At 36.4% G+C, this 26,696-nt stretch overlaps 1 protein-coding gene and 1 long non-coding RNA gene across 13 annotated transcripts in view; one reads left to right on the top strand and one right to left on the bottom strand.

Moving 5' to 3' along the window:
• Positions 1-26,696, bottom strand: part of MALRD1 (MAM and LDL receptor class A domain containing 1) — a 687,552-nt gene that overhangs the window by 269,237 nt on the left and 391,619 nt on the right. For all 10 annotated transcript variants that reach the window (XM_011519453.3, XM_011519455.3, XM_011519454.2 and 7 more), the window contains one exon: positions 14,752-14,935. In XM_011519453.3, the coding sequence (XP_011517755.1) occupies positions 14,752-14,935 (184 nt within the window). The remainder of the gene's footprint in view (positions 1-14,751; positions 14,936-26,696) is intronic.
• On the top strand, positions 5,950-25,749 carry LOC102724082 (uncharacterized). 3 transcript variants are annotated; one of them, XR_007062079.1, is made up of 3 exons: positions 5,950-6,031; positions 8,583-8,667; positions 25,712-25,749. It is a non-coding gene; the product is annotated as an uncharacterized LOC102724082 (long non-coding RNA). The 3 variants fall into 3 exon arrangements; XR_930726.3 differs by lacking the exon at positions 5,950-6,031 and adding an exon at positions 7,768-7,856; XR_001747682.2 differs by lacking the exons at positions 5,950-6,031; positions 25,712-25,749 and adding exons at positions 7,768-7,856; positions 25,122-25,197.

The raw sequence follows: 26,696 nt of genomic DNA, 5'->3' as shown, positions 1-26,696 counted from the left end.
TACTGGAAGCCCTAGCTAGAGCATTCAGACAAGAGAAAGAAATAAAGGGCATTTAAATTGGTAAGGAGGAAGTCAAACTGTCACTGTTTGCTGATGATATGATCATATACCTAGAGAACCCTAAAGACTCCTCCAAAAAGCTCCTAAAACTGATAAATTCAGCAAAGTTTCCGGCTACAAAATTAATATACATAATTCAGTAGCCCTGCTATACAACAACAGTGACAAAGCTGAGAATCAAATCAAGAACTCAACCACTTTTACAAGAGCTGCAAAAAAAAAAAAAAAAAAAATTGGAATTATACCTAACCAAGGAGGTGAAAGACCTCTACAAGGAAAACTATAAAACACTGCTGAAAGCAATTACAGGCAACACAAACAAATGGAAACACGTCCCATGTTCGGGGATGGGTAGAATCAATATTGTGAAAATGACCATCCTGCCAAAAGCAATCTACAAATTCAATGTAGTTCCCATGAAAATACCACCATCATTTTCACAGAACTAGAGAAAACAATCCTAAAATTCATATGGAACAGAAAAGAGCCCACATAGCCAAAGCAAGACTAACCAAAAAGAACAAATCTGAAGGCATCACATTACTTGACTTCAAACTTTACTATATGGCCATAGTCACCAAAACAGCATGGTAGTGGTATAAAAATAGGAACATAGACCAATGGAACAGAATAGAGAACCAATAAATAAACCCCAAATACTTACAGCCAACTGATCTTTGACAAAGCAAGCAAAAACATAAATTAGAGAAAGGACACCCTATTCAAAAAATGGTGCTGGGATAATTGGCAAGCCACATGTAGGAGAATGCAACTGGGTCCTCATCTCTCACCTTATACAAAAATCAACTCAAGATGGATCAAGGACTTAAATCTAAGACCTGAAGCTATAAAAATTCTAGAAGGTAACATCGGAAAAACCCTTCTAGCCATTGGCTTAGGCAAAGACTTCACGACCAAGAACCCAAAAGCAAATGCAACAAAAACAAAGATAAACAGGTGGGACTAAATTAAAGAGCTGCTGCATAGCAAAAGGAACAGTGAGCAGAGTAAACAGACAACCTACAGAATGGGAGAAAAATCTTCACAATATATACCTCTGACAAAGGACTAATATCCAGAATCTACAATGAACTCAAATAAACTAGCAAGAAAAAAGCAATCCCATCAAAAAGTAGGCTAAGGACATAAACAGACAATTGTCCAAAGAAGATATACAAATGGTCAACAAACATATGAAAAAATGTTCAACATCACTAATGATCAGGGAAATGAAAATCAAAACCACAATGTGATACCACCTTACTACTGCAAGAATGGCCATAATCAAAAAATCAAAAAATAATAGATGTTGGTGCGGATGTGGCACAAAGGGAACACTTTTACACTGCTGGTGGGAATGTAAACTAGTACAACCACTATGGAAAACAGTGTGAATAGTCCTTAAAGAACCAAGAGTAGAAATACCATTTGATCCAGCAATCCCACTACTGGGTATCTACCCAGAGGAAAAGAAGTAATTATACGAAAAAAGATACTTGCACACGCATGTTTATAGCAGCACAGTTGACAGTTTCAAAAATATGTAACCAAATGCCCACCAGTCAATGAGTAGATAAAGAAAGAGTATATACACACACACACACACACACACACACACACACACACACTACTCAGCCACGAAAGGGAACGAATTAGTGGCATTTGGCATTTGCAGCAACCTGGATGGAACTAGAGACTGTTATTCTAAGTAAACTAACTTGGGAATGGAAACCAAACATCCTATGCTCTTACTCGTAAGTGGGAGCTAAGCTATGAGGATGCAGAGGATGCAGAGGATGCATTGTATCATAAGAATGATACAATGGACTTTGAGGACTCGGGAAAGGGTGGGAGGTGGAAGAGAGATGAGGGATTAAAAAACTACAAATTGGGTTCACTGTGTACTGTTCACGTGATGGGTGCACCAAAATCTCTCAAATCACCACTAAAGAACGTACTCATGTAACCAAACACCACCTATTCCCCGAAAACCTATGGAAATAATAAATAAAATTAAAATTAAATTTAAAAATAAAAGAAATTACCTTATAAGAAATTGTGGTAGGCTATTGGTTCTCTATACAAATATATATTCCCTTCCTCTTTCCTAGTAATACAACTTAGTTTTGAATAAACACATTTCGTAGATTTCCTTATGATTTAACCACGCAACTAAATTTTGGTTAATTCATTGTAAGTATAATTAATACACAAAAGCTTCAAGAAAACAATTTTAAAAGACACCAGGTATGTGTCCTTCCTTTGCCTCTTTCCCTGCCTTATTTTTTCTTGCCAGCCAGATGAAAGCTATAATAACCAGAGCTAAAGCAAACTCTTGAATTATCATTCCTCTCACAATATTTCAGGCAGCCCCCTCTCCGTCTCCACTCTCACTGTACTGCTCTAGTGCAGTTCATTACTTTTTATCCTCACTATTGGACTAGCCATCTATTAGAATAATCAACTTATCTGTGTAATATCCTTCTATACTTGCTAGTAGGAGGTACTGTATTAATATTTATTGAATGCAAAATATCATGTTCTAAGAATAGATTTTCAATGAGCTTATAGTGGATTTGTGTTTTCATTTAGGTTTTAGTAATATTTAGGCATGGTGAGGCCCACAGATCAGGAAATGACTGCCATGGAAAAGATAGGTTTTTATACTCACAGAACCTGAGTGAAGGGAGAACACTTCACTGTAGGGAGGCTGCACAGGCAAACACTCGGATTGATCCGGAGGCAGAAGGAGATGCAAAATTGTGGGCAAGCGCCTTTATTGCAGTTTCTATGAGAAGCAGATTTACAATTGGCTAGTTTGAATAATTTCAGTAAACTCGGGGGCATGGTGGCTCTTCCTAGTCTCTGGTAATTAAACCTAGGATGATTAGGGCAGGTAGATAGTGGCTCTGAGTGTGACGGCTTCATAAAGGAAGTAGGTGGAGATGTGGGCTCTAGAGTGGTTGGTTTGCATTTGAAAAATGCACTCAAGAGGAAGTGCTTTACTATTGCTAGGAAGCATCAGAATACAGAAAATAAGACATAGTGAATATGATTTGTATACCCAGCTCCCCTATTCTGGTGACACTCCTTCATCAATAAGGTCACCAAGGTGGAGTTCCAGTAGGCATGTTTGTCTAATGTATCCTGCCGTCTCTCTACAATAACTAGTCTGAGGGTGACCATTTGACCCAAGATAGGTCAGAGAATTTAGAAATAAAACTAAAGGATGCCTGCAACAATGTGTCCAGGCTCGTGTATTCCCCGGAGTCATGTTTTCTTTATGTACGGTAAAGTAGAGATGGACGTTCCACAGAAAGGGAAATTAAATAGATGAGCTGAAACACACAGTTTCTGTCACCCAGGTTGGGGTGCAGTGGTGAGATCATGACTCACTGCAGCCTCAACCTCCCAGGCTCAAGTGATCTTCTTGCCTCGGCTTTCTAAGTAGCTGGGACCACAGGTGTACACCACCACACCAGCCAATTTTTAAAATTTTTTGTAGAGATGGGGTCTCACTATGTTGCCCAAGCTGAACTTCTGAGCTCAAGTGATCTTCCTGCCTCAGCCTCCCCCCACAGTGTAGGATTACAGATGTGAGCCACTGCCCCTACCCCCTCTCACTTTTTAATCTTTGATTTCCATATCTTCCTGACGTTGTACCATATTCTTGATTGATGTGATTCCTTGTACCTTTACATGAACTCCTTTTACGTTTGACAGTGTTGGCAGTTAGAGTAAATCTAGTTAACATAGAGATTTCCAAGAAATTATCATTAGAATGTACAAAGACTAAAAGACCAAAAAGTAACCTAGTGGAAAAAACTCCAAGCACACTTGGTTTCTTTCTCTGAACTCCTTCCTGACCTTTTAATCAACGATTTTAAACTCTTCATTTCCCAGTTCCTCTGAGACAACTTTCCAGACAATTTGTGTGAGTCATTTGACTCAAATCCTTCAAGAATCCATTCCATACTAAACATTCTTATTCCCCTCTTAAATGAGATTGTGTATATGCTGGGTCTAGTATGATCTTGTCGCCCATTGATTTTTCAATATCTATTCATTTCCTTCCATTGTCTTGATTGTCACTTATTCAATGCATGCTTCTGTAAAACAATTAAACAAGTAGGCATGTATGCAACGGATCAGTGGAGGAATTAGGTTACTATAACCAGAAGTTGTTTTGATTGGTCCATGATTTTGACCACTACAATAATTCTTGTAGCACCAACATACAGCAGATGAAACCAAAGAGTACTTGCACAGCTGAGCTCAGCAAGTCATACAGGAATTCCCGGACTGCGCAGAGTGTGCTTCAACCAACGTTTTCAGATGAGTTATCCATGTGCTTTCTTTTGAAAGTGCTTCTTTATTGCCTAGTTCTCCTGGTCTTCGGGTAATTTGCTCTTGCCTTCAAAATTCAACAGCCTTAAACATTTTATACTATGTTTACCTCAAGGGTCCTTGCCTCCCATCCACCCCCACTGTTTTAGGTAGAGTCATACATTTACTCAAAAGTTCCTCTATTTACTAGGAATTCAGATACTTTAAACTGTACTAGCAGCTTGAATATGATTGCTAGTGTTTATATTAGTGCTGGGTAACTAGATTACCTATGATTTCAGTGGCTTGCTCCAATACTATTTTTCCAAAGGCTTTCTTCTTTTCATATTATTCAAAACATGAGGTTTTTCAGAAACTTATATGTTACAGTAAAAAAAAAAAAATCTGTGTGTGCGTATGTGCATTTGTGTGTGCGTTCCATTAAGTGGAATAGACAAGAAAATTGGTTTCTAGTCCTGGCTTAATATTTGTGCATGTATAAATATCTGTAGATTTGGTTGTTAACTGTTTCTTTATGTTTGGCTCAACTAGATGTAATTTTCATGTGTTCCACATCTACTCAAGTTCAACTGTAGCTTATACATCTTATATACTAGTATATATCTGTACCGATATTTCAGGACTAAATGACATATACTTCAATTATGTAGTGGAAAAATTATATATGAGTATAAAGTAGGAGCCTTCTTGATAAACATCAATATTCATTTTGAGTGAAAATAAGTAAAATATAGTTCAGTAAAAATGGAAACACCATATCATCACAAAAACTCTATGCAATGGTCCTACTGACCTAGATCCTAAATATGAAAATTTTCATTGTCATTGAAACAAATTCTAATTAGAAATTACATGAACTGAGGATAATGTTAACATTCAGATTTACAGTTGCCTCTATTTGAACCTAGGGATATTTCAAGGGCTATTTAAGCCTTACTAAAATGTCTGGTCAAATAATTATTTTTTCTTAATAATGTAAATGAACCAAGTTATATCATTGTGCTTGGATTATAATTAAATATAATTATATTAATAGTAATATTTATCATTATAATATGATTTAAATTACATTTTTAAATATAGACCTTTTTAACATTCAGATGCTAATTCTCTTAATTTTATTGAGAGATAAAGCAGTATTTGATGATTTCAAGGTACGTAACAAATGGTTTACTTGAATACAATGTTAAAGTAATTAGATTCATCCATGGCTTTGACTTTTTTAATTTAAAATCACTGATTAAAAGTATAATAAACTCAATCACATAGTTCTTTTGTTTAAAGAATGGCCTTGGACCAGAAAAAAAGAACTAGTCCCTGATTTTATAAGAAACAAGTAATTGGGCTCTAAGGCTTAATGAAGAACAATGCAGTTAGTTGATCATGGCAATGAAGTCTCTCTTCTGAAGCCTGTCTCAAATCAATTCAAGCAATAAAAGAAAGTTAGATTTATAACTGGCAATGACTGAATGTAGAGGGTTGATGTCACAAAGACTATCTCCACCTCTTCGTTAAGAATTTTGTTTAGTGTCAACTTTATTCACTGAGGGTACTTCCTCAAAAGGCTGAACCCAGGAATGCTGGGAGCTTTTGGTTAACACCTTTAGACTATTAGAATCTGAAGGTAAGTATACTTCTCTCTTACATCTTCAGGTTGAATAAACCTGCAAAGGATTGATAGCTTGGTTGTGATTTCTTTTTGTTTATTAATTAAGCAACCATAATCCTGAGACTGTGACCTTAAATACAGCAAATGTATTTGCTTCCAAGGTAGAGAAACTGGAAAACTCAATGTTAAATAATGTCTCTTTATGTAATATTGCATTGTGTGTTAGGTAGTAGATTGCACTGTGTGTTAGGATGGGCTTGATGATATACTTTTAAAATACCACTTAAATCTTAAAAAATACTATATATATACGCACATATATATATATATATAACTCAACTATACATATCTAAAAAACAAGTTGGCTAAGAGATTCTCATCTACAGATTCAGGAAGATGAGGCAGATGTAGATATACTATCTGGGATATAAGGCCCCTTTTAACATGCAAGGGAGACCTGATGAGACTTACTTTTGAATTCAAAATAAATCTGTAACGATGAAAATTGTACACTACATTTTAAATATTTCAACTGGAAATGACACATGCTACTTCCTCACAGCACATTGGCCAATTCTGATTCTTATTGACCCGTTTAACTAAAAGGGAAACATGCGGGAAAGAAACTGATGTCATTCAAAGAGTAAATATCTCTACCACATGCGGTGATACATTTTCAAAAAGACAGCATCTGTTTATAAATCAATGACAAAGATGTCACCATTCTTACCTTTTGATAATCAAAATTCTTCAATCAATAAAAACCAGTTACCTTTCACTGAAAAGTCAAAATTAATCTTTGTATCCATATATGATATATAGTTAGTAAAATATCAATTTATGTATGGACATGTTATTAATATTGATAAGTAAGTTGGAAGAGAACATATAATCAGGAGATAAACTAATTATAACAAGCTATTTTTAAACATGACTTTGACACTTTTTGTTAATCAATATTTGCAGGGATTTAGTTACTTCAAATAAGCCTATTTTGTCATTTGAGAAGCATTGCGTACTTCATCCTGCCAATAAGTAAAGTTTCATTTAAAGTGCAGGCTTAAATGTATGGATTCTTCTATAAAGAGTATATTTAACAAATTATATCAAGTGTTGGCAGAAAATTTTAGCTCTAGGTACAAAAGGTGCATTGCAGTGTATAAAGAAACCTAGTATAAAAATAGTCATATATAATCAGGTAAAGAAAGAAACTGCTATGACCTGGGTCTGGTTCAAGTTAAATAATATTTGTAGTTAACAAATATTCTTTTCCCGCCCTTTCCTTACTGAAAAGATTTTGAATCCAAAATAAAACAAGCCTGTAACAATAAGGATTATTTGAATATTAAAAAATTTTAAAACATCACTTAACAATGTTTTAAAATACTTAAACTAGTACTATTAAAACATTCTACTATTAGAAACACTAATGATATGTCTGATATCACTTATTTTTTTTCAAGACCATTTGAAATCATTGGCAAACTAGATAATGCCAAACATTTCTCCCTGTGGCCTTGGACCAACCCAGTTCTCCCTAGTTTCTTGCTTGCAGTTCTCAAGAAGAAACTCAGAATGTGCTAGGAATGCAACATTCTGAGATAAGAAGGGACGTTCTAGAACAGCCCGGTCTTAGTTCAAATTTCTTTTAGAAACAGAACATCCTTTCATGCTTTCACCTAAGTTATAAAACCCAGGGCGGGCTTTGCCAGATCATCAGCTGTGGTGCAACAGGGTCTTGCACAGATGAGATTACATCCACCCTGGGCAGCTTTCTTGAGCCTTGGGGGACCAGCTTAATGATGAACCCTAATTTTCTGTTGTCCCTTGCTGCCTATCTGTACGTAATAAACCCGCTTTATGTAATTAGTTTATGAGGATTCTGTCTCACCAGACTCAGGCAAGTTGGTAACCAGTAGACAGTGAACCTGCTTGACAGATATGTCAAGTGCTGTGTGACTGCTTTTACCTCCAAGTTGTTTATCACTGTTTTAGTAGTATTCTATGATGTTATGGCTACATATGGCTGTTTCCATGCCATTAAGCATCAGGAGGGAAATCAACTCAGCTGATATTTGGTGTAACATCTAGCTATTTCAATTTTTCAGAGTCTTAAGGATTCAATTAAATATGATGGTGTTGATGAGTGATGGCAATCATATCAAACATTGCTTGAGTAGTTACCATGAAGAATTATTGTATAAAGCACTTGGCATATAGTAACTTTTAAATCCACACTATCATTCTAATAATATAAGGCAGGTTCTTTTGTTTTGTTTTGTTTTTTTAGCTGGGCATGGTGGTGCATGCCTGTAATCCCGGCTACTCACGAGGCTGAGGCATGAGAATCGCTTGAACCCAGGAGGTGGAGGTTGCAGTGAGCTGAGATCGTGCCATTGCACTCCAGCCTGGCGACAGAGCGAGACTCTGTCTCAAAATAAATAAATAAATAAATAAATAAATAAATAAATAAATGTCACTTTTAATTATTTCATTAGGGCGAGATGTGCATTACTTTTCTACTCATTGCCTTCTTCTTTTTCTTGTCTGACATTTACTTTAAAAGAAGACTGCGAGCGATCTGAATGCAACACTCGGAGCACTCAAATGTGAGCAGAAATACAGCTTTTCATGTAAACTAAGTGAAGAAGGTAAGTTCTGAAGTTAAACTCTATGGAGTTATCTTTATAGATTTATTTGTGTGTGAACTTTATATAAAGCAATCACTGTTTTGTGATCTCCCAAGTTCAATTTGAATCCAGAGTGATGCTGCATTGAGATCATTATCATCATGCCACTATTTTTCACTCCAGATAAAATCACTGTTTAAAGGACACTCAGGAGTCATACATACAGTTTTTAACAGGAAAAAAATGAAAGATGCAAAAGTGGCTATAATAAAAAAGAATGTCTTTTTACATTATCTTTGAAGACAACACCTAAGACATCTGAAATTATAAAAATGCCAGCTTCTTTTATTTTACCCTCAAGGTATTTTTTTTCTTTTCATAATTAAGATTATTCGGGGGGTGTGAGTGTTTTGCTATGTATGAATGTAGGGAAAGATTGAGTAGCTACTGTCAAAAGATTCTGGAAACATTCTCTGTTCCCTAAATTATCTCTTCCTTTTCCTTGAACTGAAAACTGGTCATCATTCAATTGAATTTTCTAGATATTCAGTTGAAAAGGCAACATCTTATACCATTATTGGATTCTACCCTGAGGTCCTGGGTTTACCAGTGTCTCTGAGCAGTTCACAGAGGGGTCCTGTAAGTAGAAAACATGGAGGGGAACACACTGGGGAAGGAGACAAATGCCAGGAATTAAGAAAGAGGCACTGAAAAGGGAAAAAGAAAAATCCACAAAACTGAACACTCTGGAATGCACACATTTCAGCCCAGCTCTCCGTAGATGTGTGCAGTGCATTGCACAAAGCTTTCTGCAGACTAGAAAATCCATGTTTGTGGAACATGTGAAAATGAAGGAACAAAACAGAATAGAATTCTAAATGTGATGTAAAAAGTGTTGTCCCTAAAACAATTAAGAAGGCTTGCAGTGTAGTTCATTTATATTTATTGGCCAGTGAATATTCAGATGCTTGCTATATCTCATGTGTTTTTCAAAGTACCTTGTATAGAGTTAATAATTTAATCCTCATAAGAACTTTATGAGATGGAAGCATTATTACTACTATTTTATAGATGAAAAACATAAGGCAAAAGAAGATCATGTCATTTGCCTAAAATCATACAGCAGATAGCAAATGGGTAAGCTAGGACTAACACCTAGTGGTCTTATTGCTGATCTGGGATATTAACAGCTGACATAAATACTATTTAGTATTAATAGTAAGCTCCCTGAGTATCAGGTGAATGACTGTACTTAAGAAATGATTGTACTTTAAGTAACGTTCTGAAATTTCAGAAGTCATTTAAATTTCGAACTTTAGAATTACAATGATACGATAACCCTTTCTTTACAATATGAATTGTCTTCCTACTTCTTTGTTCTGTGGAATGGTTGCTACATTTTATAAGATTTCTGTACAAACCATTTTTAAACCAACTTGAATAAAAAGGAGAGACATCAAATTTATAATCTGTCACTTATTTTTCTATGAATAAGCTACTTGCTTCCTTGCTTCCTTATTAACTTGTCCAAAAAGGAGAGAGCCTTCTTATTGTGTTCCTGGACAGACTACAGAATATGCCAATTATTTTGCTTTATTTTTCTTTTTAGAAAAATATATTTGATAGTAAGTTGAAGATAGCACCATAATGTATTCAGAATGCAAATAAATAAAAAAGAATATATCTAGCTTTATGTTGGCTATTTTCTAAATATTATCTAATAAATTGAGTTGTAAGTTTTTGCATAGAAAGTAAGAAAGAAATATGAAACTTAAATAGCTTTCCTATTTGCAGCTAAAGTAGATAACTACCAAATATATACCATACATATTACGGTACATATAATGTGTGTGTGTGTGTGTGTGTGTGTGTGTGTGTGTGTACGTGTGCACGGACAGTCCTCGATTTACAACGGTTTGATTTATAATCCTTCAACTTTACAGTGGGTTTATCAGGACATAACCTCATCACAAATCCAGGAGCTTCTGCATTTACAATGATTTGACTTACAATTTTTTGACTTTATAATGGGTTTATTGGGTATGGAATGCATTTTCAACTTATATGGGTTTATCCATATATAACACCATCATAAGTCCAGGAATATCTGTATTACCATTATATATAGATATATATATAATTTATATGTATGTATCATATAATTATATATATATATATATATATATATATCATATGCATAATCTACCTTTCCTCATTTCTACTCACAACCAATTCTCAAACCTGGCTGCATTTTCCAGGGAATATCTGTTGACTCTTTTGTGATTTTCCTGCCTTCCCCCTTATAGAAATAAATAATACACAAGTCTTGTCACTGTTTGTGGTTTGTCCTATTAGTTTGTACTTTTGGATTTTGTAGGGATGTATTTTCATTTAATTTTGTTGCATATGTTTTTCATGACTTGCTGACTTTGCTAATTAGGTTCTCTGACTGTTTTGTGTGAGGACTTAGGAAAATCCAAAAGCTATTATGCCACTACAATTGCCATCTTTCCAGAATTCTTCATCTTTTTTCTTTGAGACAGGGTCTGACTCTGTTACCCAGGCTGGAGTGCAGTGGCATGATCATGGCTCATTGAAACCTCCAACTCCTGGGCTTAGCCTCTTGCAATTCTCCTGCCTCAGCCTCCTGAGTAGCTGGGACTACAGGCGCAAGCCACAATGCTTGGCTTATGTTTTAATTTTCAATTTTTTTTTTTTTCAGACGGAGTCTTGCTCCATCACCCTAGCTGGAACGCAGTGGTGCGATCTCGGCTCACTGCAAACCTCTGCCTCCCTGGTTCAGGCAATTCTCATGCCTCAGCCTGCTGAGTAGCTGGGATTACAAGCATGTGCCACAACGCCCAGCTAATTTTTCTATTTTTAGTAGAGTTGGAGTTTCACCATGTTGGCCAGGCTGGTCTCGAACTCCTGGCCTTAATTAATCCACCTGCCTCAGCCTCCCAAAGTGCTGGACTGCAGGAATGAGCCACAGTGCCCGGCCTAAAATTTTTATAGAGATGGGAGTTTCACTATGTTGCCCAGATTAGTCATTCCTTTCATTTAAAAAGTTTTATTGATTTATAATTTACATGCCATAAGTTTAGCCATATAACATTTAATGTTTCTAATATGTTTATGAAGTTGTACAATGATCACTATAAACAACATTAGAATATTTTTATCACTCCATGAAGAAACCCAATATCAATTAGCAGCCATTCCCCTCTCCCCATTCCCTCACACCTAAGTAACCACTCACCTCCTCTCTGTCTCTATACATTTGTCTGTTCTGTACATTTCATATCAATGGTAGCATACAATATGTGGGGATGTTTTATGATCAGTAAAATGTGACAGAAATAAACATTCAGTCATTTTTTAAGTTATTTCACATGCAGAACATCAACAACTTCATGATAAATTGTGTGGTGACCTGGTAGTTTATGATCTGAAGTTGGTTTCCTAATACAGGGCAATAAAGCATCATTTGAGAATATGGCATGTTAATAATAATGATGACCACTGTAATAATAAAATGTAACATTAATTTTTCTATGTGCCAAGACTGTTCAAAGAACTTCACATATTTTAACGTATTTAATATTCATGTAAACGTATGATGAAAATACTATTTTCATCTTCTCAATTTTATTGATGAGGAAACCGACGCAAAGCGAAATGAAGAAACTTACCTGAGCCAGATGACACAGCCAGATGCCATGCCCACATAGTTTGACTCAAGGCTCCTTGTTCTTAACCACTATGATAAAGTGCCTTTCTGACTTTGACGTGTTTTGCTAAATACCATTCTCACCATCTGAAGTGGCAACTGCAGAAAGCAACTTAGTGTAACTTACACTCTAAGCTCCTTCTGATCATCCATGTTACACAGACCTGATATTTCACCTGCATAAAGCTAAACACTAAGATGATTAAAAAGAATGTTGTTTAGTTCCATTCATAGTCTTTCAAACTTTCTCATAATTTTTTCATGTTTTCTATCTTAACTGAAAAACAATTTGAAAATCCTTGTTAATTGTAGATGGCTGGGCTGTTAAAAACCAATGGCTACTTTTTCTGAAAATGTATTAAATGTGTAATTTACTATATTCAACTATAATTGACAACATGATGCCTCTTTACTTAATGAAAAAGAAAGAACTATAGGCCTAAAAGCAGTTGATCACTAAACGTAAGATATTAAAGTATAACTTAGTAAGCCAAGTGTTGGCTTCAATTGAACAAAATTAATTGTAATCACGTAAACTCTCACAGAACTCTATTACGAAAAAGGGAAGAAAGAGTGCAGACTTCTACATGAGACTAGCAAAGCTAGAATAATAACTCTCAGTTTCCTTCTGTCCTGAATCAACCCATCTAGGAATCATTCTGCTTCCCTTGAGAGGAAAGGAATTTCTCTTATTGAATAAAGCTTTCTTTCTAAAATCTTAGAGAAAGTTTTGAAGAATTTTTCCTTTTCAAGTTGCCAGAATCATTTCTAGATTGAGTTACTAACCATAATAGAATTTCAACATATTACTTGGAAAGTTACTAGGAGAGAGTTCAAGAAGCATATTCTCATGTCTAAGATTCCCTTTACACAAATACATGTGCAAAACCTCATCTTCTTTCATTAAGACACTCTCTCCAGCATCTTGAAGCCCAAATCCTGTCTCCTGCATGACATAGATACCTGGAGCTACATGCTCCTTACATGGTATGAAACACATAATTTCTGATTTTATTTAACATAAGGTAGCTGAGTAACAACCACCTTTTCTGGAAACATAGGTTGGAGGAGAGGGAATTCGAAGTTTAAAGAATGTATTTCTAAGTAGAATCTTTTGAAACAGTACCACTCATAAAAAGAGCAGATGCTGTAACACTACAAAAAAACCAAAGTCACATTTTTGAACTGCCTCAGTGAAATGATATTTTAATATGAGAGCAACAATAAAATTAAACAGCATTCAGGTTTAGCTCTTTTAGTCGCGGGGACTTGCTGCCAAGTGAATCAGTATAGAAAACCACAGAAGGCATATCTTTCACTGGCAGTATATCTCACACAGGATTATTTTGGAAACCAAATGGAATAATTCCTCTGAAAGAACCTTGCAAACTGTGAAATTGTACAAATGTATTTATAATTATTTTTGACATTTTCTGGGTAGTTTTGTAAAGAGAATCTAAGTGTAGTTATACTTCTCATTTAGAAACATGATAAATGGCGGTACTTTTTTTTCAAGTTACTGTTCACAGGCTGGAGTAGCATCTTTAAATCTCCCAAGCACAGCTCTCAGCTCAATTTCTGCTTCAATTTTGCCTGATTGAATTTATTTCTTATAGATGCACTTACTACCAGATTTCTAACCTGTTTTTACTGGTTCATTTATAATTAGTTTAAATTAGGTAAATACATGTAAATATTAGGCTCACATTTAAAATTGTGTTGAAAAACAAATTCAGAAGGGAAAAATTATCCATGTTAGAAAGCGGATGGTACGGAAGGAAGAGAGGTGTTACTTGTGCAACTGAAAGATGAAGAAGATATCGCTATGGTCTGACTGTTTATTCTCCTCCCTTCATTCATATGTTGAAATCCTAAACCCAAAGGTGATAGTGTCCAGAGATGGGGTCTTCAGGAAGATGACTAGGTCATGAGGGCAGAGCCCTCATGAATGGGATTAGTGCCCTTATAAAATAGGCCCAAGGGAGCTCATTTTATAAGGGCTCCACTTGGACTCCACCAAGTGAAGACACAGCAAGAAGGTGCCATCTATTAACCAGCAAATGAGCCTTCACCAGATACCAAATCTGCCTGTCTTGATCTTGGACTTCCCAGCCTCCAGAACCACAGGGAAAAAAATTTCTGTTGTTTATATGCTACCCAGCTTATGGCATTTTGTAACAGCAGCCCAAACAGACTAAGATAGGTATTATCTCAACATACAGTTTTAAGTTCACAATTATAAAATTATACCTTTCCATTGATTTGTGTATGTGTACAAAATACATAACAGTAAAGCATTGTAAACTTGTGTAACAAAAATAAAATGGCTAGATTAAAAATGTGCTTCCAAATGGAAGTGCTTTCTGGAAACTTACCAGTTGTGCAGTTTTTAAATTCAATATCATCAATTGCAGCTCCTCCTCCCAGGTCCCTTGTTCTGATACCTTGAAATATGACTTCAAAATTCCTTAACTTTCCTAGCAGGATGTCAGCCTTTTGCCAATGATTACCAGGGTTCTGCTTACTTTCTTGCCATACTTTTGATAGTCCTTTCTCTGTCTGAAAGTAAAGAAGTTTGTATGAGGGAAATAATCAAACACAAAAGAAGATGATGCAGTGTGGGGCAAAACCCAGTTATTTATCTCAGAAGCATTTGACCAATAAAAACTGAAAAAACAAAGAAGCACTGAATCTGTGAAAGGTGATCTTACAAATTGAGTCATTCTTGTCAAACCCAACTCAAAAAGACTCAAGAGGTCAGGGGTCGGGGAAAGCACTAAGGGCTCGTAATACTGCTCCAAAAATATAATTCTCTACAAACCTGGCTCCTGAAACTGACAGCTGTAACCTGAAATTAGTTGTATCTGACAGATACTGAAACAATCTGCTGAGACTCTAAAACTAGTTTTACCCATCATGCACCAGTTAGAGCTTTCCAGCTCTGCACAACTTTACTAGTGCCAATGAATTTTCTTTCACAATAATATGGAACATTTCTTTTTTCTTCCCCCTCCCCTCAAAAACTTTTATTTTAGGTTCAGGGGTACGTGTGCAGGTTTGCTATACAGGCAAACTCCTGTCATGGAGGTTTGATGTACAGATTATTTTGTCAACCAGGTACTAAGCATAGTACCAAATAGTTATTTTTACATTTCTCTTTTATAAAACCTCCAATCTTCTCTTTGTTCTTCAGATATACTGAAGACCACCGGGTCTGTATATATGCCCCAAATTGCAATTCTTGCTTCCCTCAAAAAAATTTTTAGAGATTTTTATCTATATTTTATTTGACTTCAACATCTCTGATGATAACTATGACATAGTTTATCTCACCAAAACAGAGGCATATTAATCTACTAAAATATTTCCCAAAATAAAAACTAGCAGAATTCGCAACACACGTATTTTGGAATTTTTAGAGACACCATTATTATAAATTGCTCTACTCGGATCACAAGATCAAGAGATTGAGACCATCTTGGCCAATATGGTGAAACCCCATCTCTACTAAAAATACAAACATTAGCCGGGCGTGGTGGCACACGCCAGTAGTCCCAGCTACTTGGGAGACTGAGGCAGGAGAATCACTTGAACCCAGGAGGCAGGCGTTGCAGTGAGCTGAGATCGCGCCACTGCACTCCAGCCTGGCAACAGAGTGAGACTCTGCCTCAAAATAAATAAATAAATAAACTAAACTAAAATAAAACAAATTGCCCTACTCAGTAAAATCTACCTTTCCTTGCATTTACACAAATTATTTATATTTGATGAAAACTGAACAATTTACTGAGGCCTTGGGTTTCTAGTTCCAGATGTAATTAGCTATCCAAACTTCTACTCATATTGTGTAATTATTCAGGTTGTAGCTTCTTACAAAAAGCTTAAATCACTGACAGAGGAAAAGAGAAAAGGAGAAACATGTTGGAGAAATCACTTATCCCTGATGGATGTAATAAAGGATTTATGAAGTGAATTCAGTTAGGAGGAAAAGTGATAATTTTAACAACAGATTCCAAAAATTATATTATTATATAATCATATTATTTTGATTTTCATAAATTCTGTTATAATGTAATTATTATATAAGTAACAACTATGATTGTTTTTACATAAAATTTTTTAATTGAAAAGATAAAATTAATTTTCTAAAAATCTTATGTAAACATGGATAGCTGAGGGTGGTTAACTAGTAATACAATATTCTAATACATGAACAGTCCCAGTACAAGGTAACATGACATAAAATGACATATAATCCCAATGACCGAATAAAAATGACAACTTCATTAAAACAGCATATTAACCAGTTGAGCACAGGACAAGGCTGAGATTGTATACACTATTCTTTGTTATTCTAGGTCTAGCCCTTTCTGGGAACTAGATGATTTAACAAATCATAATGATGGATATTTGGCAAAGAAAAAAATATACATATATACACACTATTATGTTTATGGTTAGTTCCCAGTTAATATTCCTTGGTCCTGGGTCATTGCATTTTCATGATGATTCACAAGAAAAACTTTGTCTCTAAAGCTTGTAATCAAAAAAGTAGACTAGAGAAGATTTAGGGAAATGACATACAGAAGGGAAGCAAAATGTTCCAATAGATTTATAGCATATAGGTATGAAATGTGTAATTTACACATAATTTAAAGAATAAAAGCTAAAGAGGAAAAAAAAGGAATGTCTGAAGAGGGGCTACCAAGGAGCTGGACATTCATAACTTCGTGTTTTCAGGGAACTAATGCTAATAAATATGTCTGATGTCTTGTTCTGCTGAGGTAGATGAAGATGTTTGATCAAGTGGTTCTTCCTCTCCATGGTTACCGAGAGCACAACTATGCATCAGTTAATCTAAAATTAACTTTGCAAAACAACTAACAGTTTATAGATAGATCATTAACATCCTTGACAAAACAACAACAAATCTGACACCCACAGATTCATGTAACTTCTGTATTGAAAGGGGTGGAGAATTCACACCTAATTAATGGAATTTCGTATCTTTTTGATGACTAAAGAAGATAAGTCCTTCTCAAGGTTAGTCTTTGACTCTCAGTGATGTCTTAGTGATTTGAAATCAAAGGGATGGTTAATTAAATTAAAAATTAAAGGAAAGGGTGGTCTATCTGACTCCTAGCAATATTACAGGCTGGATATTGACAAAAGCCTGTCTTGATTTACAAACTTAATTCACTTTACTAACTTTTCCTATTTATCTGCCTCTGCAGTTTATAAAGCCACTCATTAGGTATGGCAAATCCCCAAAGAATTTTCAACAAATACCATCAAAGAAGAGCATACGATCACGCTAATCAAAAAATGCGAATCATTTCTTAAATCTTACAACTTGTCTTCTAGTAAAAAAAGAGACAAATAATGCATTCACTGTCATTTTATGTGTTAGAAAAAAAAATGGGTAAATTATTTTGCAAACGAATCATGGATCAACCTAATGGTGATGTACTATAAGACATCATTCTACTATACTAGCTGTTGTTTCATAATATCAAATGTTATCCCTATAACTAACAAAAATACTCATCTAAATGTGGAATGGAGGTTTATTTCCTTATCCATTCATTCATTCCTTTATTCAGCAAACTTTCTGTGCTCACACAGTGCCAGGTACTATGTTAGATGCCAGGGACAAAAAGGTGAAAAGACATGGAGCCTACCTGGAGACGTACTAATTTAATACAGGAGAAAAAGTCATAAAAATAAACTACTGTAAAAGCACTCTCAGTCTTGCTCATGCTCTGTGTGTGTGTGTGTGTGTGTGTGTGTGTGTGTCTGTGTATGTGTGTGTGTGTGTGTGTGTTCCTAACAGAGAAACTTTTTAAAAAGTGATTATGTAGTCAATTCCCAAATTTTTATTCCACATATGTCGTTACTTCACCTATTTACTTAATATCCTGATTTAAATTCATTCTAAATTGTGAAAGTGAAAAACTGCTCACTCCTAACTCATAATTTTGCCACTGCTGAGGGACTTTTCCCTTGTATATATACAGATTTTAATCTCAATACCCAGAGGATATAAGCATGTGAAAAGTGATTAACCACATTAATAAGAGTAAAAAATAGACACTAATACAAAAATGGTTAGAGATATTGAAGAATTATTTTCTTCTCATAATTTAACCTTTTTCCAAATTTTGAATTGATTCCTCACATATAGTATATGCATGGAACTTTTGTCTTGCAAATTGCATATTTATTTTATAGTGTGTTTGTCTTCATACTTTATGCCAGTCTTTCCTTTATGGGCTGTGCAAAGAAAGGCAATAAGAAACACTACAAAGACAGAACCACTTCAAATTGTACAAACATATTAATAGACAGATCTCCTTGGAAGTTCCATTTCATATGTTTGAAGTGAATATACAACTTTTTCCCAAATAACTAGCCATTTTTTTAAACCATTTAAATAATACCTCTCTTTTTTCCAATTGACATCTTTATCTATTTCTAGAGTTTTTAGTATTTAATAAGGGTAAATAAATACAAGAATGTATTTTTCTGCATTTCCAACTGAGGTACTGGGTTCAACTCACTGGGGCTTGTTGGACAGTGGGTGCAGCCCACAGAGTGTAAGCTGAAGCAGGGTGGGGCATCACCTCACACGGGAACCACAAGCGACTGGGGAATTCCATTTCCTAGCCAAGGGAAGCCATGACAGACGGTACATGGAAAATCAGGACACTCCCATGCTAATACTGCACTTTTCCAATGGTCTTAGCAAATGGCACACCAGGAAATTATATCCCACGCCTGGCTCGGAGGGTCCCACGCCCACAGAGCCTCACTCATGGCTAGCACAGCAGTCTGAGATTGAACTGAGAGGCTGAAGGAGGGGCATCCACCACCGCTGAGGCTTGAGTAGGTAAACAAAGCGACCAGGAAGCTCAATCTGGGTGGAGCCCACCACAGCTCAAGGAGGCCTACCTGCCTCTGTAGACTCCACCTCTAGGGGCAGGGCATAGCTGAACAAAAGGCAGCAGAAACTTTTGCAGACTTAAACGTCCCTGTCTGACAGCTTTGAAGACAGTAGTGGTTCTCCCAGCACGGAGTTTGAGATCTGAGAACAGACAGACTGCCTCCTCAAGTGGGTCTCTGAGCCCAAGTAGCCTAAGTGGGAGACACCTCCCAGTAGGGTGACACCTCACACAGCTGGGTGCCCCTCTGAGACAAAGATTCCAGAGGAACGATCAGGCAGCACCATTTGCCATTCTGCAATATTTGCTGTTCTGCAGCCTCCACTGGTGATACCCAGGTAAACAGGGTCTGGAGTAGACCTCCAGCAAACCTGCAGCTGAGGGTCCTGACTGTTAGAAGGAAAACTAACAAACAGAAAGGACATCCACACCAAAACCCCATCTGTATGTCACCATCATCAAAGACCAAAGGTAGATAAAACCACAAAGATGGGGAGAAACCAGAGCAGAAAAGCTGAAAATTCTAAAAATCAGAGTGTCTCTTCTCCTCCAAAGGAACGCAGCTCCTAGTCAGCAACGGAACAAAGGTGGATGGAGAATAACTTTGACAAATTGACAGAAGTAAGCTTCAGACGATTGGTAACAACAAACTTCTCCGGGCTAAAGGAGGATGTTCGAACGCATTGCAAAGAAGCTAAAAACCTTGAAAAAAGATTAGATGAAAGGCTAACTAGAAAAAACAGCATAAATAAGACCTTAAATGACCTGGTGGAGCTGAAAATCATGGCACGAGAGCTATGTGATACATGCACAAGCTTCAGTAGCCGATTCAATCAACTGGAAGAAAGGGTATCAGTGACTGAAGATCAAATGAATGCAATGAAGCAAGAAAACAAGGTTAGAGAAAAAAGAGTAAAAAGAAATGAACAAAGCCTCCAAGAAATATGGGACTATGTGAAAAGACCAAATCTACATCTGATTGGTGTACCTGAAAGTGATGGGGAGAATGGAACCAAGTTGGAAAATACTCTGCAGGATATTATCCAGAACTTCCCCAACCTAGCAAGGCAGGCCAACATTCAAATTCAGGAGATACAGAGAATGCCACAAAGATACTCCTTGAGAAGAGCAACTCCAAGACACATAATTGTCAGATACACCAAAGTTGAAATGAAGGAAAAAATGTTAAGGGCAGCCAGAGAGAAAGGTTGGGTTACCCACGAAAGGGATGCCCATCAGATTAACAATGGATCTTTCCACAGAAAGTCTACAAGCCAGAAGAGAGTGAGGGCCAATATTCAACATTCTTAAAGAAAATAATTTTCAACCCAGAATTTCATATCCAGCCAAACTAAGCTTCATAAGTGAAAGAGAAATAAAATCCTTTACAGACAAGCAAATGCGGAGAGATTTTGTCACCACCAAGCCTGCCTTACAATAGCTCCTGAAGGAAGCAATAAACATGGAAAGAACGACTGGTACCAGGCACTGCAAAAACATGCCAAATTGTAAAGACCATCGATGCTAGGAAGAAACTGCATCAACTAACGAGCAAAATAACCAGCTAACATCATAATGACAGGATCAAATTCACACATAACAATATTAACCTTAAATGTAAATGGGCTCAATGTTCCAATTAAAAGACACAGACTGGCAAATTGGATAAAGAGTCAAGACCCATCAGTGTGCTGTATTGAGGAGACCCATCTTATGTGCAGAGACACACATAGGCTCAAAATAAAGGGATGGAGGAAGATCTACCAAGCAAATGGAAAATAAAAAAAAGCAGGGGTTGCAATCCTAGTCTCTGATAAAACAGAATTTAAACCAACAGAGATCAAAAGAGACAAAGAGGGCCATTACATAACGATAAAGGGATCAGTTCAACAAGAAGGGCTAACTATTCTAAATATATATGCACCCAATACAGGAGCACCCAGATTCATAAAGCAAGTCCTTAGAGACCTACAAAGAGACTTAGACTCCCACACAATAATAACATCCCACTGTCAACATTAGACAGATCCACGAGACAGAAAGTTAACAAGGATATCCAGGACTTGAACTCAGCTGTGCACCAAGTGGATGTAATAGACATGTACAGAACTCTCCATCCCAAATCAACAGAATATACATTCTTCTCAGCACCACATCACACTTATTCCAAAACTGACCACATAGTTGGAAGTAAAGAACTCCTCAGCAAATGTAAAAGAACAGAAATTATAACAAACTGTCTCACAGACCACAGTGCAATCAAACTAGAACTCAGGATTAAGAAACTCACTCAAAACCGCTCAACTACATGGAAACTGAACAACCTGCTCCTGAATGACTACTGAGTACATAACAAAATGAAAGCAGAAATAAAGATGTTCTTTGAAACCAATGAGAGCAAAGACAACACATAGCAGAATCTCTGGGACACATTTAAAGCAGTGTGTAGAGGGAAATTTATAGCACTAAATGCCCACAAGAGAAAGCAGGAAAGATCTAAAATTGACACCCTAACATTGCAATTAAAAGAACTAAAGAAGCAAGAGCAAACACATTCAAAAGCTAGCAGAAGGCAAGAAATAACTATGATCAGAGCAGAACTGAAGGAGATAGAAACACAATAAAACCCTTCAAAAAATCAATGAATCCAGGAGCTGATTTTTTGAAAAGATCAACAAAGTTGATAGACCACTAGCAAGACTAATAAAGAAGAAAAGAGAGAAGAATCAAATAGATGCAATAAAAAAATGATAAAGGGGATATCACCACCGATCCCACAGAAATACAAACTACCATCAGAGAATACTATAAACACCTCTATGCAAATAAACTAGAAAATCTAGAAGAAATGGATAAATTCCTCGACACATACACTCTCCCAGACTAAACCAGGAAGAAGTTGAATCCCTGAATAGGTCAATATCAGGCTCTGAAATTGAGGCAATAATTAATAGCTTACCAACCAAAAAAAGTCCAGGACGAGATGGATTCACAGCCTAATTCTACCAGAGGTACAAAGAGGAGCTGGTATCATTCCTTCTGAAACTATTCCAATCAAGAGAGAAAGAGGGAATCCTCCCTAACTCATTGTATGAGGCCAGCATCATCCTGATACCAAAGCCTGGCAGAGACACAGCAAAAAAAGAGAATTTTAGAAAAATATCTCTGATGAACCTCGATGCAAAAATCCTCAATAAAATACTGGCAAAACGAACCCAGCGGCACATCAAAAAGCTTATCCACCATGATCAAGTGGGCTTCATCCCTGGGATGCAAGGCTGGTCCAACATACAAAAATCAATAAACATAATCCAGCATATAAACAGAACCAAAGACAAAAACCACATGATTATCTCAATAGATGCAAAAAAGGCCTTTGACAAAATTCAACAGCCCTTCCTGCTAAAAACTCTCAATAAATTAGGTATTGATGGGATGTATCTCAAAATAATAAGAGCTGTTTATAACAAACCCACAGCCAATATCATACTGAATGAGCAAACACTGGAAGCATTCCCTTTGAAAACTGGCACAAGACAGGGATGCCCTCTCTCACCACTCCTATTCAACATGATGCTGGCAATCAGACAGGAGAAAGAAATAAAGGGTATTCAATTAGGAAAAAAGGAAGTCAAATTGTCCCTGTTTGCAGATGACATGATTGTATATTTAGAAAACCCCATCGTCTCAGCCCCAAATCTCCTTAAGCTGATAAGCAACTTCAGCAAAATCTCAGGGTACAAAATCAATGTGCAAAAATCACAACCATTCCTATACACCAATAACAGACTAACAGAGAGCCAAATCATGAGTGAACTCCCATTCACAATTGCTTCAAAGAGAATAAAATACCTAGGAATCCAACTTACAAGGTTTGTGAAGGACTTCTTCACGGAGAACTACAAACCAATGCTCAATGAAATAAAAGAGGACACAAACAAATGGAAGAACATTCCATGCTCATGGATAGGAAGAATCAATATTGTGAAAATGGCCATACTGCCCAAGGTAATTTATAGATTCAATGTTATCCCCACCAAGCTACCAATGACTTTCTTCACAGAATTGGAAAAAAACTACTTTAAAGTTCATATGGAACCAAAAAAGAGCCCACATTGTCAAGACAATCCTAAGCCGAAAGAACAAAGCTGGAGGCATCATGCTACCTGACTTCAAACTATACTACAAGGCTACAGTAACCCAAATAGCATGGAACTGGTACCAAAAAACAGATATAGACCAATGGAACAGAACAGAAACCTTAGAAATAATACCACACATCTACAACCATCTGATCTTTGACAAACCTGACAAAAACTAGAAGGATTCCCTATTTAATAAATGGTGCTGGGGAAACTGGCTAGCCATATGTAGAAAGCTGAAAGTGGAGCCCTTCCTCACACCTTATACGAAAATTAATTCAAGATGGATTAAAGACGTAAATGTTAGACCTATAACCATAAAAATCCTAGAAGAAAACCTAGGCAATACCATTCAGGACATAGGCATGGGAAAGGACTTCATGACTAAAACACCAAAAACAATGGCAACAAAAGCCAAAATTGACAAATGGGATCTAATTAAATGAAAGAGCTTCTGCACAGCAAAAGAAACTACCATCAGAGTGAACAGGCAATCTACAGAATGGGAGAAAATTTTTACAATCTACCCATCTTACAAAGGACTAATATCCAGAATCTACAAAGAACTTAAATTTACAAGAAAAAATCAAACAACCCCATCAAAAAGTGGGCAAAGGATATGAACAGACACTTCTCAAAAGAAGACATTTATGCAGCCAACAGACATATGAAAAAATGCTCATCATCACTGGCCATCAGAGAAATGCAAATCAAAACCACAATGGGATACCATCTCACACCAGTTAGAATGGAGATCATTAAAAAGTCAGGAAACAACAGGTGCTGGAGAGGATCTAGAGAAAAAGGAACACTTTTACACTGTTGGTGGGACTGTAAACTAGTTCAACCATTGTGGAAGTCAGTGTGGTGATTCCTCAAGGATCTAGAACTAGAAATACCATTTGACCCAGCCATCCTATTACTGGGTATGTACCCAAAGAATTATAAATCATGCTGCTATAAAGACACATGCACACGTATGTTTATTGCGGCACTATTCACAATAGCAAAGACCTGGAACCAACCCAAATGTCCATCAATGATAGACTGGATTAAGAAAATGTGGCACATATACACCATGGAATACTATGCAGTGATAAAAAAGGATGAGTCCATGTCCTTTGTAGGGACATGGATGAAGCTGGAAACCATCATTCTCAGAAAACTATCGCAAGAATAGAAAACCAAACACCGCATGTTCCCACTCATAGGTGGGAATTGAACAATGAGAACACTTGGACACAGGGTGGGGAACATCACACATCGGGTCCTGTTGTGGGGTTGTTGCGGGGGGAGGGATAGTATTAGGAGAAATACCTAATGTAAATGATGAGTTAATGAGTGCAGCACACCAACATGACACATGTATACATATGTAACACACCTGTATGTTGTGCACATGTACCCTAGAACTTAAAGTGTAATATAAAAAAAAAGAATGGGTTTTAAGCTATAGATAAAAACCCTCATAAGAACAAAAATAAAATGCAAAACTTGAAAAAATATGAAACAGAATAGCAATAAGCTTTACCATAATACAAATTGAAACATAAGTAGACTATGGACTAAAAACTAGTATATAAACAGAACTCTCCCGAAGTCAATGCGAAAATGACAGAAAAACAGAAAAATGTGAAAGAGATCTTTTTAAACAATTTACAGGAGACAACAGCTCAACAAGCATAAAGGGAGATGCTCAGGCTTGTTGGCAATCAGACAGTGGTAAGATGGACACCTAAAGTGTGATGAGTACGCCCCAGGAAATGTTTTGCAGCAGGGAGAAGCAATGGACTGGATGTATACATCAAAGCCAAGATGGATCTTTAAGACATAGAAAGAAGGGGAAAATGTAATAAACAAAATGTAAGTTTTGACACACTCGAAGTAATAGCACACGTATTATAAAATGTATACGACCAAAGAATATACATTAGAAAGGTTGCCTATGGAGTAAAAGGGAAATGGAGTGGGGAAGGAGGATAAAAAGTAAAATAAAATACACACAATACAAAGTGAAAAATATGACACATTCAAAACAATAGTCCACATATTATATACTTATTATTTATATCTATATATACACACACTAAATACATTAAAATAAAGAAATAAAACTGTATTTTCAGCTAATTAGTATAGTTGTATAGCTAATGTACTGCACTCTAAATACTTTGACTTTTAATTATATTGTTCCTGCACCGGTTTTATTTACTCCTTGCTAATATTTATCCCCCACTTTTTTTTTGAGACAGGGTCTTGCTTTGTTGCCCAGCCTAGCGTGCAGTGGTGTGACTCTAGCTCACTACAGCCTCTGACCTCCCAGGCATAAGTGATCCTCCTGCCTCAGCCTCCCACCATCAGGACTGCAGGGATGCGCCACTACAATCAGTGAATATTTTTAAAATTTATTTTTGTGCAGAGACCGGGCCTTACTATGTTGCCCAGGCTGGTTTTAAACTAATGGGCTCAAGCTATCCTCCTGCCTTGGCTTCCCAAAGTGCTGGAACTGCAGGCAAGAGCCACCATGCCCAGCTTCTTCTCTCTTTTAACTTTATTTGTACATTGCCTTAATCTTTCAGAACAATGTTTAACAATGAACATAATAATGGCTATTTTATGTAATTTTTAAATTAAATTTTAATTAAAATTATAATTTTTAAAAAACAATTACAAATTAAAATGCAACAGATTGGTAGTTTTCAAGTATAATCTGTGAGAATTTTGAGGAAATTAGCATCTTGTAAACATATCTATGACCTCATCATGCTCCTAGTTCCCTGATGGAGACACATAACTATGATAGTAAACAGCCAGCGGATTCAAGAAAAAGCATCGGTTGCCAGTGAATCTTGGATGAACGGTACCCATGCTGCAGGCAATGAGTTCAGAAGAGCCTGGGATAGATCCTGTGGAAAACATTTTTACTGAACATTATTCACACTGCAGTCTACAAAGAAGAAGGCTTGTCTGTCTGAGCTGTGGGGTCTGGTGGGCACAAGAAAAAAAGTCACTCACCACTCAAGAGAACCCAATAGCTTGTATGAACACTAAAGTAAACCATCAAAATCACACCAAGTCTATTTCACACACACTGACATGGCTACTATAAAACAAAATAACAAGTGTTGGTGAAGAGGCAAAGAAATAGGAATTCTTGTGCACGTTGGTAAGAATGTAGAATGGTACAGTCACTGTAGAAAACAGTATGGAGGTTCTATAGGAAACTAAAAATGGAAT

The sequence above is a fragment of the Homo sapiens genome, chromosome 10 (genome assembly GCF_000001405.40).
Source record: "Homo sapiens chromosome 10, GRCh38.p14 Primary Assembly".
Lineage (NCBI taxonomy): Eukaryota > Metazoa > Chordata > Mammalia > Primates > Hominidae > Homo > Homo sapiens.
Note: the sequence above shows the minus strand (reverse complement) of the source record. Positions and strands in the feature narration are given on the sequence as shown.